General features: G+C 40.4%; 1 protein-coding gene across 3 annotated transcripts in view, besides 1 other annotated feature; it reads right to left on the reverse strand.

Moving 5' to 3' along the window:
- Window positions 1–17,801, reverse strand: part of WDR33 (WD repeat domain 33) — a 110,145-nt gene that overhangs the window by 15,528 nt on the left and 76,816 nt on the right. For all 3 annotated transcript variants that reach the window (XM_005263697.4, NM_018383.5, XM_011511436.2), the window contains exons 8-17: window positions 10,097–10,223; window positions 8,507–8,661; window positions 8,333–8,411; window positions 7,779–7,889; window positions 6,699–6,793; window positions 6,404–6,490; window positions 6,037–6,176; window positions 5,282–5,434; window positions 2,711–3,799; window positions 601–709 (exon numbers count right to left, since the gene is read on the reverse strand). In XM_005263697.4, coding sequence (XP_005263754.1) covers window positions 601–709; window positions 2,711–3,799; window positions 5,282–5,434; window positions 6,037–6,176; window positions 6,404–6,490; window positions 6,699–6,793; window positions 7,779–7,889; window positions 8,333–8,411; window positions 8,507–8,661; window positions 10,097–10,223 — 2,145 coding nt within the window. The remainder of the gene's footprint in view (window positions 1–600; window positions 710–2,710; window positions 3,800–5,281; window positions 5,435–6,036; window positions 6,177–6,403; window positions 6,491–6,698; window positions 6,794–7,778; window positions 7,890–8,332; window positions 8,412–8,506; window positions 8,662–10,096; window positions 10,224–17,801) is intronic.
- Window positions 4,809–6,008: an enhancer, noted in NCBI's record as "CDK7 strongly-dependent group 2 enhancer chr2:128478937-128480136 (GRCh37/hg19 assembly coordinates)". NCBI's record gives its function as "activates an origin of replication core promoter dependent on BRD2, BRD4, P300/CBP, MED14 and CDK7 cofactors, with strong dependence on CDK7, by STARR-seq in HCT116 cells {active_cell/tissue: HCT116}" and the evidence as "EXISTENCE:reporter gene assay evidence [ECO:0000049][PMID:35650434]".

Consider the following 17,801-nt stretch of genomic DNA (forward strand, 5'->3'; position numbering starts at 1 on the left):
AGGGGCCATGGTGCCCTGCGTGCTCTCCTTCAACCCTTAGGATTAACTCTAAACTTCCAAATAGCCCCACATCTAAATACTAATCATTCTCATCTCTTTCCTTTTCATATCAACAACCTGAGGAGCCACATATGGCTAGAGTGCTTTCTTCTTTTCAAATGGTGCACAACTACATAACCAGCTGAAGAGTTCAATGTGTGACAGGGTTTGGGAAGACAAGGATGTGATGACAAAAACACTGTCACACAATTCAAGCACAAACAGTCCATCTCTTCAGGGTGCTACAAACACACACTTGCACTCAGTGAGCACAGGAACCACCTGCATTGCCAACAGATGGGCAAGGCCAGCCTGCCACACAGGCACGACTGCTGGAGCCTGTGCGGGTGCCTTCATTGTCAGCCTCTGGGGTGAGGGGCTTACTAAACAGATCCAAGAACACAACCAAAGACAAAGCTCCTACCTGAATGACCACACCCTTATTTTGCCCAGAGGTTCAAATGACCAGTCTATCAATGACTGGCCAACAAAATTATTCACTGTAAAATGTGCACAAAGGTGGTAGAATATAATCTTTTATTCAGCTGAGCAGATATTTACCTTTGTTGGGGCCAGGTCCTTGTCCGGGGTTCAGAGGGGGAATGCGACCTTGTGCTCCCTGCTGCCCTAGGCCTGGTATCAGGGGTGGGGGGCCTGTGCTCTGTCCTTCCTGAAAATATGTTTTTAAAGTAAGGGTATGAAATCACAGGCTTGAGCTACATAAATAGTGATTGCATTATAACATGACAAGATAAAAATACCCAGTAAATATTTACCTAGTAAGATTACAGTAACATTGTCCTTAAATCAGGAGAAAGGAGATACTTCTTTTACTATAATAATTTTTTTAAAGCACCTGTATTTTAAACCTGTTGACAACTTTTATGTAAAATTAGATCTTTACTCGTAATGCCAAAAAAGAACATCAATGGAAAGTCAGAAATTCTAACACAGCAGCACTAAATTAAACCAATTAAAACAACTGGTTTAAGTAACTGGTCTGGTTAAAGTGAAGCAACTTAGATTTCAGCATATGAGAAATAAGAGCACAGATTTTCATCAGGCAACTTCTGAGATCTGAAATGCCCTACAAAGTATCAGATCTTCAGACTCATTCTACCAGTATTTCTATAGGTCAATTAAAATTTCAGAATCATGCTTCCCATGTATAAAATCTTTTACTACATGGTACAATAAAAAATCTCATTGAATTATCCCAGAAACTCAGGCATGTCCTTGTGACTCTGACATGTTTATAAATATTTCAGTTATAACACAGTAGCTAAAGTCCATTATTTTTTTAATCCTCCAAAATGAAAACTGTTAATTTACTACCAGAAAGTTAGGAAAATAACTTACAATAAATAATATTATACACACATACAACTGAGCAGTAAATTAATAAAATATATAATACTTCAAGTTTTAGGGCAATTTAGAATGGCAATCCTATACTTAATTCATCCTAACTTCTGAGAAGTGCTGAATAAAAATCTGGAAATAACTCAGACATCATCAGATTCTCCATGACTACGACACTTTTAGGTTCTGGAAGACCTACTTTAGAATAGTAGATAATTTATTTGTTTTAGCTTAGTAGTTGAGTTCAGGAAACCCAATGGTCATCTTTACATTAGGGATTCGTGGTGGTATTTGAAAAACCAAAACAGACTGTGCTTTCTACATCTGTAGCATCCCCTTTCTCCAAGTGTCTCAGGGAGTCAACATTAGCTGACTCGCTCACTTTTGGTCCACACTGGACCAAAAGTGAGTTTTCAGGGACAAAACTCAGTTATTCATACCCAAATAATGCCTCCAGACTAAGAACTTGAGAAAAGCATAAAATGCACATAGCTGAGCAGTATTACATCTATTTATGCTCATGCAATTCTTTTCGTAATTCACTCCCCCAAGCAACCTGAACTTTCCTCACACCATCTCTCAAGCACGAGCTCAGCGCATGAGCAATAAAAATTGGCTAACAAAAACAGAATCCTCAAAGAAGGAGAATTTCTACAGAAATGCTCCCCCCTGCAAATACTTTTATATGTGAGCTGAAAACAACTTGAGCAGAGTTTCATCCAAAGGGTCACCATTTCCAGAATGCTCAATTCTGGAATAACAGTCTCTTTATTTCTATTCACTGTAATAAACAGAGTGAGGTACAGAGTCTATAGTATACTCATGAGTTAAATATCCCATCCTATCTTTTAAAAGTAGAGTTGGCAGACAGGAAGTGATTCTGTGGCTGGCAGGCCCATGGAACACCAGGCTGCAATGTAAAGGGCCCAGAAAGGAGGCATGACAGCCTCAGAGCCGACCACCATGTAAAACATGCTTCCTCCTCAGGGCCACAGCTCTCCTGGAGCCCTGGGACAATTATCAGCTGTACTCAAATGAGAGTTGACCTTTTCTGAAGAAACTCTATTACCAAAAAAAGAAAAATGGTGAGAAGTAAAAATGAATACTGAGATGTACTTAATGGGAGTATAACCTAACTCATCATTCTTATGATTTCATTCTTCAGCCAGGATGCTAGTATCTTAAGCTACTGTCACTACTTGATAAGTATTTATATCCAGCTGTGACCATTTTCCACAATACTCAGCAGTATTACTTCTGTGCAGAGTGTATTTTCCCAATGTGCCCGTGAGTTGGAAATGAATAATACCTGGTTGAAGGGGGCCCGGGGCCCATCACCTAGCAGAGGCGTTTTCTGTTGCTGGAATGGTATTGGCCCTTGAGATGGATGTGGCCCTCTTGCTGGGTTCTGCTGTCCCTGAGGTCCGGGGGGTCCTTGCATGCCACCCTGGGGTGGAGGTCCTAAAGAGCCCTGGGGCGGCCCCTGCTGACTTTGTGAGCCTGGAGGCCCTCGCAATTCCTGGGGAGGTCCCAGCATTGATCCTTGGGGTGGAGGCCCCTGCATGCCTCGGATCTCCTGAGGACCTCTCATTTCCTGAGGGCCGTGTCCCAGTAGTCCACCTGGAGGGTGAGGTCCTCTCATCTCTTGAGGCGGGTGGCCCATAATCATCCCTTGGGGAGCAGGACCCTGGTTCTCCCGGGGGCCTGGAGGCCCCTGCATTCCTCTTGGATTCAATCCCATCAGAGGTCCCTGAGACACAGGACCTTGGATCCCTTGAGACCCTGGTCCGCCTTGGATCCCATGAGGATGAGGAGGCCCTTGCATTCCTCTGGGACCAGGTGGTCCCTGCATACCTTGAGTACCCGGAGGCCCCTGTGGGCCCAAGTGACCCTGAGGGCCAGGCGGGCCTTGGGGGCCTATGTGACCCTGTGGGCCAGGTGGACCCTGAGGACCCATATGACCTTGAGGACCAGAACTACCTTGTGGTCCAGGTGGCCCTTGAGGTCCCAAAGGGCCATGAGGTCCAGGATGCCTCTGCATTCCTTGGGGCCCATGCATGTCCTGAGGCCGTGGCAACCCCTGGGGCGGGCCCTGGGGCCCCTGTGGTCCCATGAATCCTTGTGGCCCCCCACCTCCCTGATGCAGTGGAGGACCTTGTGGTCCCATTTGTCCCTGGGGTCCAGGAGGCCTAAACTGTCCCTGTGGACCTGGAGGCCCCATTTGAGCCATGTTCATTGGCATCTGCTGAGATGGATGGGGCTGTTGAAAACCTTGAGGAATCTGAGACATTGGACCTTGTCCTGGAAAAGGCTGGGGTCCGAGGAGAGGGGTGCCAGATGAGGGAGGAGGCTGAATTTGCTCAACTTGTTTCTGTGCAAGTCTTTCAATTTTAAGTTGCTGGAAAGAAAGAAAGAAAAAAGCATGTTGAATAAACAGGCCAGAGCCCTTGAAGATGACAATATTGCTATCATGTATTCTGTTAGGGGACTCTCAAACATAAAAACTGCTCAAACTCTTCACGCTCCAGTGGTAATTAGAGTCCATGCAACACTCAAGCACTGTAAGGAGTTTTAGGTTCTTTCTCATTCTTTTTAAGTCCTGGGACACAGTAGTAAGGATTTTTTTTTCCTTATTTTTTTTTTCTGTCCCCCAAGCTGGAATGCAGTGGTACGATCGTGGTTCACTACAGCCTCACCCTCCTGGGCTCAAGTGATCCTCCCACCTCGGCCTCCGGAGTAGCTGGGACTACAGGCACATGCCACCACACCCAGCTAATTATTATTTGTAGAGACAGGGTCTTGCTATATTGCCCAGGCTGATCTCAAACTCCTGGGTTCAGCTGATCCTCCCGCCTCGCCTCCCAAAGTGCTGGGATTACAGGCGTGAGCCACTGTGCCTGGCCTAGTCAGGATTATTTTTGTCCATCTTGATCAGGGAAAGCCCAATAATTCACCACTAATTCATCATTCTTGGTAGCTAACATAGATAAGAAAAATAAGAACAAGCTACCTGCTATATGAGCAGACAAAAAGGAAAAACTCTTTCATAAACAGGTGAATTCAAATTAAAACTATGTTGGCTTTATCTTTTCTATTAAAAATGTATATTTAACTTAGATCTACTCACTGCCCCACTAATTCAGTTTTTTTATGTTGTTGTTGTTGTTTTTGAGACAGAGTCTCACTTTGTGGCACAGGCTGGAGTGCAGTGGTACGATCTCGGCTCACTGAAACTTCTGCCTCTGGAGTTCAAGCCATTTTCCTGCCTCAGCCGCCCATGTCACTGGGACCACAGGCATGCACCACCATGCCCAGCTAATTTTTGTATTTTCAGTAGAGGTGGGGTTTCACCATGTTGACCATGCTGGTCTCAAACTCCTGATCTCAGGTGATCTGTCTGCCTCGGCCTCCCAAAGTGCTGGGATTACAGGTGTAAGCCACCACGCCTGACCCTAATTGGGTTTTAAAAGTCCAAGATATGACTCAAGGAAGTCACTTAAAAAAAAATTAGTCAGACGTGATGGTGCATGCCTGTGGTCTCTGCCACTCAAGAGGCTTAATGTGGGAAGATCACTTGAGCCTGGGAGGCAGAGGTTGTAGCAAGCCGTGATCGCACCACTGCATTCCAGCCTGGGTGACAGGGCATGACTCTGTCTCTAAAATAAAATAAATAAAACAAAATACATAAATAACACATTTTAAAAAATTTTAAGAAACAGGATTCTTTTGGAAACTAGTCTTCTAGCATAGCAACAGGAAATGGCGGTGTTTGTCAGACCATGGGAGAGCCCCTTCCCTTTTCCTTAAGAGCCTATCAATAAAAATGTCACCACTACCCTCTTAGATCATCTTGAATTCCCCCCTACAGAGCTTCACACACCTCCAGAAGTTGTGGGTTAGTATATTGTAATGTAGCCATTTCTTGCTCAATTTCTGCTTGTGTTTTTTTCTTCTCTTCCAATTTAATGTCTTCTTTTCTGTCATTCAGCACCTCATTTGGAGCAGGAATTGGAACTTTATTTTGCATCCAAGCCTTGGGAAAGAAGAGAATATTAAAATGTACGCTAAGTATGAAAATTACAATGATAGAATGAGAAAACCACTCTACAATGTCATCTGCTCAATCTAACCTCTGAACCGATTTTATTTCTTTTTACCTTTTCTCCATGACTCAAGTACATGACTCATGCTAATTCTTACTGACATATTACTAGGTAGAAATTACTATGGTGATAAAAGCTGCAAGACACTGCATGTTATTAAGAATGCAAAGCTTGCCAGCCTCTTCACAGGGTACATGCACTTTGTGTTGAGGGGACAATTAAAGCACAAGATAGATAAACAATGGAGAAGAGAAGCAACATACTCCCATACTCCCTCTGCTCCATGCCTCTTTCTTCTATTTCCTCTCATAGCATGGATGATAATAAGCAGGTGAGGACAGAACAGAGAAGACTGATAACAAACTCAATACAACTGCAAAGCAGTAGATGAGAACCATGTCTAAGAGTACGTGAACATGGGAAAAATGCTCCAGTACAGAAACACCTTCAACAGTGAGATAATCCAAGAGAAACCTCAAACTAACCAACCAAAACCTCTCTGCGTGGATGAGGTGGAGTCACTTTTACTTACCTGCTGGAACTGAGCAGGAATGGGTTTTGCATAAGGAACTTTCTTCTGAGGTACTTTTTTCTGATCCTTTTGCATCACTTCCTCCATTCCCCAATCTAAACCTGGAATTGTCATTTCAATTTCATTTGATTCATCTTTCCCTGTAACCGTAAAGAAAAGTGGTTTGCCTCTTAAATAAAAGAAATTGGCCACTTGATCAATGAACACATTATTGGAAGAATAGATTTTAAGTATTATGTCATTTATATAATTTTTATCAACATTTCTCAACATAAATCATTTTGGTATTTCAATATATTTATCAGGAACATAAACGGGTCAAGAAAAAATTTGTAAAAATTAAATGTGTCTGTGTAACTTCTCTTACCCATCTGTTCTTGTTCCATAGCTAATTTTAGTTGTTCTGGTATTCCCATTCCTGGAATTACTGCCAGGCTATTAGGTTCGAGGTCATCTATAAATAGTAATACACCATTGTCAATAGAGAATTTACAAAAGTAGCGACTGATAAAATTAATGCTTTATAAAAATGAATGTCACTGATGATTTATAAATAAATCTACTATAAAATTAAAATTCATTTTGTATAATCTTCCCAACATCTAACACTTCTGTAATAGAATACCAGATTTCAAAGAAGGACAGATGTGCAAGAGTCTCACCATATTCTACTCCATCTTCAGACATTCCAGGTAAAAGGTTTAGATTATATCGATCTCGCATTTTATCACCTGGTCGGTTTCGAGTCCAGAATTTGCTGTAAAAATAATTAAAGGAGAAAAGAAGCATGGCTTCACTATTTTTTTGGGCACTAAACAGTACTAGGCAGACCCTTGGTAAACACAACACATTTTTACAATTTGTTTCTTCTACAAATTTAAAATGTGAGGTCATACACTTTGGCTCACATCTGTAATCCCAGCACTTTGGGAGGCTGTGGCAGGAGGATTAAGTCCAGGAGTCCAAGACCAGCCTGGGCAACATAGCGAAACCCTGTCTCTACAAAATAAAAATTAAAAAGTTAGCTGGGTGTGGTGGCACACACCTGTAGTCTCAGCTACTCACGAGGATAAGGCGGGAAGATGGCTTGAGCCCAGGAGTTTGAGGCTACAGTGAGCTGTGATCTCACCACAGAACTCTAGTCTCGGTGACAGAGTGAGACTCTGTCTCTTAAAATAATAATAAAAATAAAAATAAAATGTGGGGCCGGGCAAGGTGGCTCATGCCTGTAATCCCAGCACCTTGGGAGGCTGAGGCAGGAGGATTGCCTAAGCCCAGGAGTTTGACATCAGCCTGGGCAACATGGTGAAACCCCATCTCTACAAAAAATGCAAAAATTAGCCAGGTGTGGTGGTGTGCTCCTATAGTCTCAGCTACTCAGGAGGCTGAGGTAGGAGGATCACCTGAGCCCAGGAAGGTTGAGGCTATAGTGAGCTGAGACCGCACCATTGCACGCCAGCCTGGACAGAGACCCTGTCTCAAATAAATAAATAAATAAATAAATAAAAGTGGAAAACTTCTGTTTTAAGTCAGAAGGCAAAACAAAATTTGAATAGCCAAAACCATATTCAATACCCAATCTCTTTATTGCAATATAAGTATTTGTAAACCACTACAAAAATATTCCCAAGAATAAGTTGGAATATAAATTACTATATCAATCAACCAATAAAAATAAACACATACAGTATTTATTTCCTGTTGCTCCATATAAAGCTTTGCTATTTCAATATAAAGCTTACCTAGTATGGTCATTTGAGCCTGAGCAGAGAATATGCCCAAGAGGATGCCAAGCCAGACTCCAGATCATCCCTTCGTGAGCCATCTCCATCCCACCCACTTCCTTCTCTACCCTGCAACAGCACCAAAGAGAGAAGATTTGTTCACAAAAGTTACCCAGCTTCTCCCTCCCCCTCAAAAAAGACATTTTCTGTTACTCTTAAAATGAAGCTACCAAAGCCTGGACTTGGACTCTGGTGAATTCCACATGTCTCGGGGTATTGGCTTGTCATTGCCAAAGGACAGTTACCCTTTCATCCAAAGAGCACTTCACAGGGGAAAAGGCTGCAAGCATTTAGAAACTAGAAAATCTATTTTATTCCTCCTTAATGACTTCCATATCCACAAACAGAGGTACATTTTCTATTCCAAGCTGGATTTACAGAACTGAAAACTGCAAGCAGTCTCTGATATAGGATATATGAACACTTAGAAAAGCTACAAAACTATCATGTCTGCACACATTCACGTGCTCTCTTCACAAAATACACTACTTTTTCACATAAATCTTACATACCCAACATGCCAGAATAACAAAGAACCATCAGACCCTCCACTGGCAAAAAGTCCTTCATGAACAGGATGCCAGGCCACAGCTGCAGAACAAAAACATGGGAAAAGACACAATTATCAGGATCTGAGAATGTTACAGGTAACAGTGGTCAATGAGAAGCATATCACAGCCACTGACCTGTGGCTTCTTTCTTATGACCTCGGAAGACTTGAAGCTCTTCTTTTAGGTTTCTGATATCAAAAAGTTTACAGAGATGATCACGTGATGCTGTGAGTAGCCAATTGCCATTGAGGTTTAATTTCACTTCCATTACTGTGTTTTTATGGGCATGACTAGAAACAAAGTATCAAAAAAAAATGTCAGAATTCAAAACAAGTATAAATACAATGGCCATTTTTGTTGAAAAGCGAATTAATCAAGATGGCAAGAGGTTTGGCCTAGAAGCAATAAAGCCTGTAACATTAAAGGATCACAGTTATAAACACACTTGAAAGAAACAAGTCAACGACAGAAATAATATGCACTGCCCAGACAAAGACAGCTCTCATCAACCAGTTAAAAAAGCAGCAGAGGCTGGGCGTGATGGCTCACGCCTGTAATCCCAGCACTTTGGGAAGCCTAGGCGAGTGGATCACCTGAGGTCAGTTCAAGACCAGCCTGGCCAACATGGTGAAACCCAGACTCTACTAAAAATACAAAAATTAGCCAGGCGTGATGGCGCATGCCTGTAGTCCCAGCTACTCAGGAGGCTGAGGCAGGAGAATCACTTGAACCCAGGAGGCAGAGGTTGCAGTGAGCCGAGATTGCACCAATGCACTCTAGTCTGGGTGACAGAGCGAGACTCTGTCTCAAAATAATAATAATAATAATAATAATAATAATAATAATAATAATAATACAGTAGCAGAGCTTCCACTGAACAGTAAAATTTATCCGTGAAGCAGGGGAAGCACATGAACACAGAAATTAATATTCAATAAAGCTCATTACATTTTGAAACTTCCATAAAGTTTCTCTAATTAAGACAAAGCATAAAAATGGACTGGAAAGTCTGAAAGTTAATTTGAACTAAAGACAATGCAACAACCCCTGGCCTGCACAATGGATATCTCCAAGGGAGCATTCACAAGGCATTCCAGGTTGGCATGGTCATTGGGGTTGTACAACAAAGCAGCCTTGCTCCAACCAATTCACTCTGAATATGGTTCTCTTCCCAATCAGAAAGACCAGGAAATGGATGCTTGGTCAAAAAAATGTTAACATATGCATGTAGCTGTGAATGTTCACAAATAACTGAAAGAGAAAACTAGATTACATAGCTGCATCGTAAGTAAGCCCATCAGACAAAAAATGAGAAGTGGTTCAAAACCAGAAGAAAACCCTCTCGAAACAGATGTTGTGAGATGGAGAAGGCTGGGCCGTGTCTAGTAAGGGGCACACACGTCAACTCCTCACAGTGCCACAAGGTATTCTGATGACAGGCAATAGGCTAGAATAGTAACCACCTCCCTCCTCATCCTCCTCCCCACCCGTATATAACAACCAAATTAAACTTAGGTCTATGTGGCAGGACAAAAACAAGCCTTACTTCATTAAGAGTTCAGAGATGAATCATATTTAATTCATAAGAAGTCTATAGATCCAAGTCCATCTGTTGCCTAAATGACTCTTCCAGAAATACATAAGAGAAAACAAAGCTAAAAGTTAAAGGACACACTGCTTTGCTCCCCTTTGTTCAGGGGCCAAGGTGGGGTTCCTGTCACTTACAGTGTTGCAAGACTCTGCCCAGTCTTGGGATCCCAGAACTTGATTGGCTGTTGACTATCTTTACTTCCTGAAACAACTAACCCTTTGGTTGGATGCCAGTCTACACATTTCACATCAGCACCATGCCCTGTCGGAAACAAGTTAGGATTAAAACCTAATTAGTTACATGCATTTAAAGCAATTTAAACCAAAGTAGAGAAACCTAGTAAATGTTTTGCTCTCAGTGCTCAGTCAACTTAAAACTTGTTTTGTGAAGACTCTTTGGCCTCTGTGTGTCTGGAAATTTTTCAGATACAGTATCCTCTCCTCCTATGTCAAGACACACAGGAGCCAGTCCTCTCCTGGACCCAAGTGCATCTTCTCACCTACTTGCCGGGAGGTCAGTCGAGGCTTTTGGAGGCTGCACCCCTCAAGACCCCATTATGTAAAGATTTTGAAGTGTCTCATGTTGTTCCCGATTACCCTGATTATAGGGCACAATCCCTGTCACTCACTTCAGTTGTCCCACTTTGTGATAGTTCTTACAGACGAACTTGATTCAACCTGAATTTAGGACTTTGGGACCACCATTTAGGAATTTAGGACACCACTTTCTAGATGGAATGACAGGAAAAGCCAGCTTTCAGCTCCTGTTTACTGAAATGCAGGAGAAATACACTCTGCTTGATTCGCACATGTTGTGACAGTTAGATGAGGTAATAATAACAGCTATCCTACTGCAGGCCTGCTATATTTTAGGCAGTGTAATGAGCACTTATAAGCATCATCTTTTTAAATCTTCACAAAATCCTGAGGAAAGTATTAGCATTATCTCCATTTTACAAGTGAAGAAACAGAAGGGCTGGAAGGGTTAAATAACACATCCTAGATCCCAAAGCCAGTCAGCAAGAACAGGAGAGAGTCCCTGAGCCTGGTCCATGGGATTCCAAGGATGGTTACTTCAGTAACCACCGTGCTAGAGCATTAGCTCACTTCACAAGTGTAATAGATTAACTTACTAAAAGTCATAAACGTGAAAGTCAATTTGTAAATTTGAAAAAAATGGATATGATTTTTGAAAAACTGGATGCTGTACAAAGCCCCAAGGATATTTTACATAACAAATAAACTAAGAAGCAGATGAGGAGTGAGGAAGAACATTCAGAGCTTCCTTCTCTACCCTGGATCAAATCCAGCTTCTGTGAAGTTCTGAGGTGGAAACAAGGAAGGATACAGAAGAATACAGACAAAGGGAAGTGAAGTGGGAAAGAAGAGACGGGGTAGAGGCACCGACAGTGATTTGTACCCGTTCATAAGGGGAGACAATTTGGGTCTCAAATGGACATAGGTTTATCCCAACACAATACCCCGTACTGGCAAGCATGTAGGGAGGTGACAACAATCTGGAGAACAGTTTGGCTGTATGTATCAAAAGTATGAGAAAGTACATCTCCTACAACCCAATAATCTCATGTCTTAGATTTTATCATTAGGAAATAATGGATGTGCAAAGGGATTTATCTGCAAGGACATTTACTGACACAATTTGTTTTTAATAGAACACAAATATATTACAAAATAAATTGCAGTGTGGCATATGTACTTAAAGGAATGTGATGCACCTATTATAAATGACCCTATAGATGATTTAATGGCATGATTAAAATGTTCATAATTTATTTTAAAAAAATACACCAGTGTATACCATCACTGTAAAAGGCAAACAGTCAATAACATGAGTGACTGTGTGAGCTTATCTAAATTAAAGAAAAAAGCCAAGAAGTCTAGACACCGAATTGTTAACAGAAATAATATTAAGCTGGAAGGTGGTATTGATTCTCTCTCCCCATGTTTATTCTATATTTTTATATTTTCTACAATGAACATATTTTGTAACTGGGTGGGAAGGGGGAAGAGAGGTTTTGCTGTTGCTTTGTCTTTTAAAAAGAAAAATAACTGAAGATGGAATAATTGAAATATAAAAATACTTCAGTCCCCCTTGCCCCTTGTTTGCCTTAAGAAATTTTAATTAACTATTTGCCCCTGAAAAGGTAGGGAATTTTAAAACTCTATGGGCCATTGTCACCTAAAAATAAATATTATGTATAGCTATGTATGCATTAATCAATCAAATTTGGGATTATGAGAAATGCCTGAGAAAGCAGTTTCAAATTACAATGTACAATATGAAAAGTTCATATTCTTAACAGCCGTCTCTATCTACCCTCATCTTCTCTGGGACACGTTTATTACATAAAGAACGTATGTCTGTTTAGTTTTAAGGTATGTTTAAAGAAGCATACGTAAAAACAAAAAAACTATGAACCCAAAAGGAACCACAAAATAAACTTCAGCTGCTTTGCTTTCTAATGTTCTCTAAAATTTATTAAAGTAAAATTCAAGCAAGTGAGGAATCTCATGAATTTACCCATATCCATACACATCTCAAATATAAATCAAACTGATTGGTCCTGATTCTTGGATGTAATTTTATTCATCGCTGTTCTTAATAAAACGAATACTAGCAAGCACAAATACTTATGTATAGCGTTATTCTAAGCGAAGTATGTGTAGCGACTCATTTTACATCTGAAGACTGTAAAGCGCAGACAGATTAAAGAACTTGCTTGGGACCACACTGATGATATGGGGCAGAGCAGAGATCTGGAATGCAGGGAGCTGGCCCCAGGGCCTCTCCTCTTAAGGACTATGTGATACTGCTTTCTTAGATATGAAAAGGTTAGTTAAGAGTTACAAGAGCAGAAAAAACAAAACTGTGTCACTTCCTATTTGCTTCTCTATACATAAAGACTCAGTGAAGGATAGTACCTAGCAGACAGTGAATTGGAACAGGGAGAGACTATTCTTTTTTTTTTTTTTGAGATGGAGTCTCTCTCTGTCACCCAGGCTGGAGTGCAGTGGCGCCATCTCGGCTCACTGCAACCAACCTCCGCCTCCCGGGTTCAAGCGATTCTCCTGCCTCAGCCTCCCAAGTAGCTGGGACTACAGGCGCCCACCACCACGCCCGGCTAATTGTTTGTATTTTTGGTAGAGATATGGTTTCACTGTGTTAGCCAGGATGGTCTCAATCTCCTGGCCTCGTGATCCGCCCACCTCGGCCTCCCAAAGTGTTGGGATTACAGGCGTGAGCCACTGCACCCGGCCAACTATTCATTTTTTAGCCTTTACATCATTTTACTTTTGAACCACATGCATGTAGTATCTAATTTTACAAAACTGAATACAAATAATGAAATAAAGTTACTTAAGAAAATATATGAAAAAAGTATGTGTAGCATGCTAACATTTAGAACTTAAAAACAGAGGGACACACACCCACGCCCCTTTGCTCAAAAATGCATACCATGTGTGTCTGAAAGAATACAAAAGAATCTGATAACATCAACTGGCTCCAAGAACTAGGTAGCTTGGGACACAAGGGAAAGAAGGAGACTTTTCACGACACATAGTTTTGTAATTTTTCAACTTTGAAACACGTTAATGACCTATTGAGAAAATTCAATTAAAAAAAATTTACTAAACTTACTTGATAACAGTGGATTACCTCTGGAAAGTGGGTGGGAAATATTTACAGGCAGCATATATCATTAAAAGAATGTTTTAATGTAAAAGAGAAAAATAAATAGATTAAGCTGGAATAGAAGAAAATTGATATGCAATTGCTTCCTTCTTCAGGAAGAAGTGACTGAATTTTCAGTAAAGTGAAAAAAATTTTTCAAATGATAAAATTCTGACCTCACATGTCAATGTTGATATATTTAGATCCAGAGGAATAAGACCAGAAGAAATTCATCCTAATAATTTAAGTGGATTAAAAAAAAACCTTTGATATGTAAAAGATGGCACTTAAAGTCTTATTAATAATAGCAAAAAAATGGAAACAAATTTTAGAAGTGGAATTATTAAACAAACTTTGCCACAGCCAAAAACCATTAAAATGAAGATTTTTGAAACAAAAAAAGCTCATGAAATAATGTGAACTAAAAAGCAAGCAAAACACACAAACTATACATATACATACACATTTTTATAATCATCTTAACATATGTGTGTACATTTTGTACATTTTATACTTGTACATTTTGATATGGTTACCAAAATGCAGATACGGATAGGCAGAAGATGAAAATCACATTGAGAATAATGGAAACAAAGATGAACTTCTATCCACATTTCCTCTAGTATAATATTGTGGTTTTAAGAATAAACAACATGGATTATATTTTGTGTGTGTGTGAACTCTCGATTTTTTTTGTTTGTTTGTTTGTTTAGGTATGTTTTTAATATGAAGGAAAAAAAAAACACCACTGAATGCAAGTTACTTTGCTAAGTAGTATTTTCCCATCAAATTAACAAAAATTGATCAGGCACGGTGGCGCATGCCTGTAATCCCAGCACTTTGGGAGGCCAAGGTGGGTGGATTGCTTGAATCCAGAAGTTTTGAGACCAGCCTGGGAAACATAGTGAGATGCCATTTTTACAAAAAATACAAAAATTAGCTGGGCATGGTGATGCATGCCTGTAGTCCCAGTTGCTCAGGAGGCAGAGGTGGAGGATCGCCTGAGCCCAGGGAGGCGGAGGTTGCAGTGAGCCAAGATCACGCCACTGCACTCCAGCCTGGGCAACAGAGCAAGACCCTGCCTCAAAAAAAAAAAAAAAAAAAAAAAACACAGAAAAGCAAAAATTAAATTTGGTGGCACTCAGTGTTAATAAGAGAGAGAGTAATAGGCACTCTCATCTGTAATTGGTTGGGAAGTAAATTAGGACAACTTTTGGGCAAGGCCATATGGCCATTATCTATCACAATCTTAAAGGCATATAACCATTGATTCTATCAATCCTCTACTAGGAATTTACCCTATGACTGCAAAAGCACACCAAGATTTATGTACAAAGATATTTACTGCACCTTGTTTGAATTGCCAAAACTGGAAATAACCTAAACATGAATCAATGAGAGGTTATTTAAGAAAATTAAGGTAAAGACATATAATTGAATACAATCCAGCTCATAAAACTGAGGCAGAAATAAGGACCTTTTTGGGGGTTTTGGAAATGTTCTATATCTAGATTAGAATGTATTTATTTGTCAAATTTTATAGGACTGTAGACCTAAAAAGGGTACATATTACCTTATTTAAATTATACTGCAGGGCCAGGCACTGTGGCTCACACCTGTAATGCCAGTACTTTGGGAGGCTGAGGCCGAAGAATTCCTTGAGTCCAGGAGGTAGAGATCAGCCTGGGCAACATAGTGAGACCCTGTCTCTAGAAGAAAAACTTAAAAATTAGCCAAATATGGTGGTGCACACCCATGCTCCCAGCTTCTCAGGAGGCTGATGTGGGAGGACTGCTTGAGCCTGGGAGGTCAAGGCTGCAGTGAGTTGTGATTTTGCCATTACATTCCAGGCTGGGTGATGGAGAGCTTGTCTCAAAAATAAAACAAACAACATATACAACACACACACACACACACACACACACACACACACACACACACACACACAGACGGACACCCCAATAAGCCTTTTTAAAAATATAAGTAAAGCATCCATTTGTATAAAATAATACTTAAGCTAGTAACCGTTTTTTAGGGAGATGAAATGGTATGGGAATAAGAGTGGCATTTACTCTTCTATACTCTTGAACTTTTTTCTTTTTTTTTTGAGACAGGGTTGCACTCTATCGCCCAGGCTAGAGTGGAGTGGGAAGTTGAGCACAGGAGGCGGAGGCTGCAGTGAACTGATTGCAGCCTCTGACTCCTGGGCTCAAATAATCCTCCTACCTCAGCCTCCCCGGTAGCTGGGACTACAGGCATGCACTATCACGTCCAGGTAATTTTTTAATTTTTTGTAGAGATGGAGTCTCCCTATGTTGGACAGGCTGGTCAAACACTTCTTAACATGTGATTTTATTACTTTGTTTAATGGCAACTACTTTTGGTGTCCCTCTATTCAAAACTCAAGTGAATGGCTGATATCAATTAATGCTTTCATTTGCCAACAGAAGAAACCAGTGCCTGTGGTCCCAGGAAGATGTGCCTCAGATACTCAGCAGGGATGCAGCTTTTCACTGACAGCTCTCAGACGTGGTAGGGGTGCATTAAGTTTCAAGATACTGTGGGTTTTGTGAAGAGGCAAACCGTACATAGAAACTTAATCTTATCTAAATTATTATTTCATAGAAAAAAATGATTAAGTACCAAACACATGGTTTATTAATTTCAAACATTAAGCCTAAAGAATGCCTCTATACTAAATTTGATCATTTCATTTCTGAGGTACAGAATTTCATGATACAATCATTCCAGGCTCTTTGTGATTCCCCAAATGTGAAAATTCCAAGAATGTAGTGTTTGTAATACTGCAAGAATACAGACTTAATGGAAAATTCACCCAGGTAACGAGAGTTTTTGTAGCCTGGTGACTAGACGTTATAGTACTAAAAACATCTCCCTAAAGGCTAAAGATTTTAGTACTGAAAATTTCTTGCTGATGAAAGACCAGGCAGTTTTTCAAGTAATTAAACTTCTCAGAATCAAGCCCCTGACAACAAAAAAAAGGAAGATAAAATTCCGAACAGCACCAAATCTGCTCCAGACACTACAAAGTCCACTACAGGCACAAAGTGTGGCCCTGCAGGGGACTGACAGGAGTCTATAGGTAGACTGTGGTGGACATGCAGAATCCTCAGTAGGATGGCAGAGCTTAAAGAAGCCAGTGATATGGGCACATGAAAGATTCAGCAGTACGACTTGGACTTGGAGGTACAATTGCAAAATTCTAAAATTAAGACATTCCAGTTGTAGATCACTATATAAAGAAAAAGACCATTATAAATCTGTGTGGAATTCCCTCTGAACACAAATACTTAAGAATTTAACCTGCACTGTCCCATATGGCACCTATTAGCCATATACGGCTGTTTAAATTTGTTTTAGGGTTAAAATTTTAGTTTCTCAGTCATATCAGTGACATTTCAAGGGCTTAATAGTCACACGTGACTAGTGGCTAAGAATATCAGACAGGAGAGATATAGAATACTTCCGTCGTCACAAAACAAAAAACAAAAAACAAAAAAACCCTATTGGACAATAACTGGCCCTAAAGAAAGTGTCCCTTTAAATTTCCACAATCTTATTTTTATTTATCTCAGTTGTACAATGAACAGCAACAACAAAAAATTATCTTTCAATGATACCAGAGCTTGAGAAGACCTGCAGAACTATCCAGCCCTCTAACTCTGCAGATGAGAACACGGAAGCCTGAAAGGGTTAGGGCAGTGGTGGGAGGGGGCCCGGATTTTCTTCCTCCTCATCCAATCCTGTCTTCATCTCACTAAATATAACATCCAGATGAAGTGGATAGTCCCTTCTGTTCCAATTACAAATCAACTTTCACTTTCTCAACTGTAACTGAAGAGCTTGTATATGACAACTTCTATACTCCTTTCCACCTCTCAGAACTATATAAGAAAATAATTTAGGGATAAATACATAATTCTTTTGACTATTTAATAAGTAAACATATTGATTCTGAAGACCAGAGTCTTGTTCGGAATGAAGGAATGTGACAACCATAAACTAACTCCACCAAAAGAAATTCCAAATTAATCACACTGAGTTATTTTTAGATATTAAGCATTGAGAACAGTGAGTTTGCATCATTCCTTAGCTAGCTATCCAGCTAAACGTTCCTTCAGAGTC

This window comes from Homo sapiens, chromosome 2 (assembly GCF_000001405.40).
Source record: "Homo sapiens chromosome 2, GRCh38.p14 Primary Assembly".
In the NCBI taxonomy this organism is placed as follows: Eukaryota; Metazoa; Chordata; class Mammalia; order Primates; family Hominidae; genus Homo; species Homo sapiens.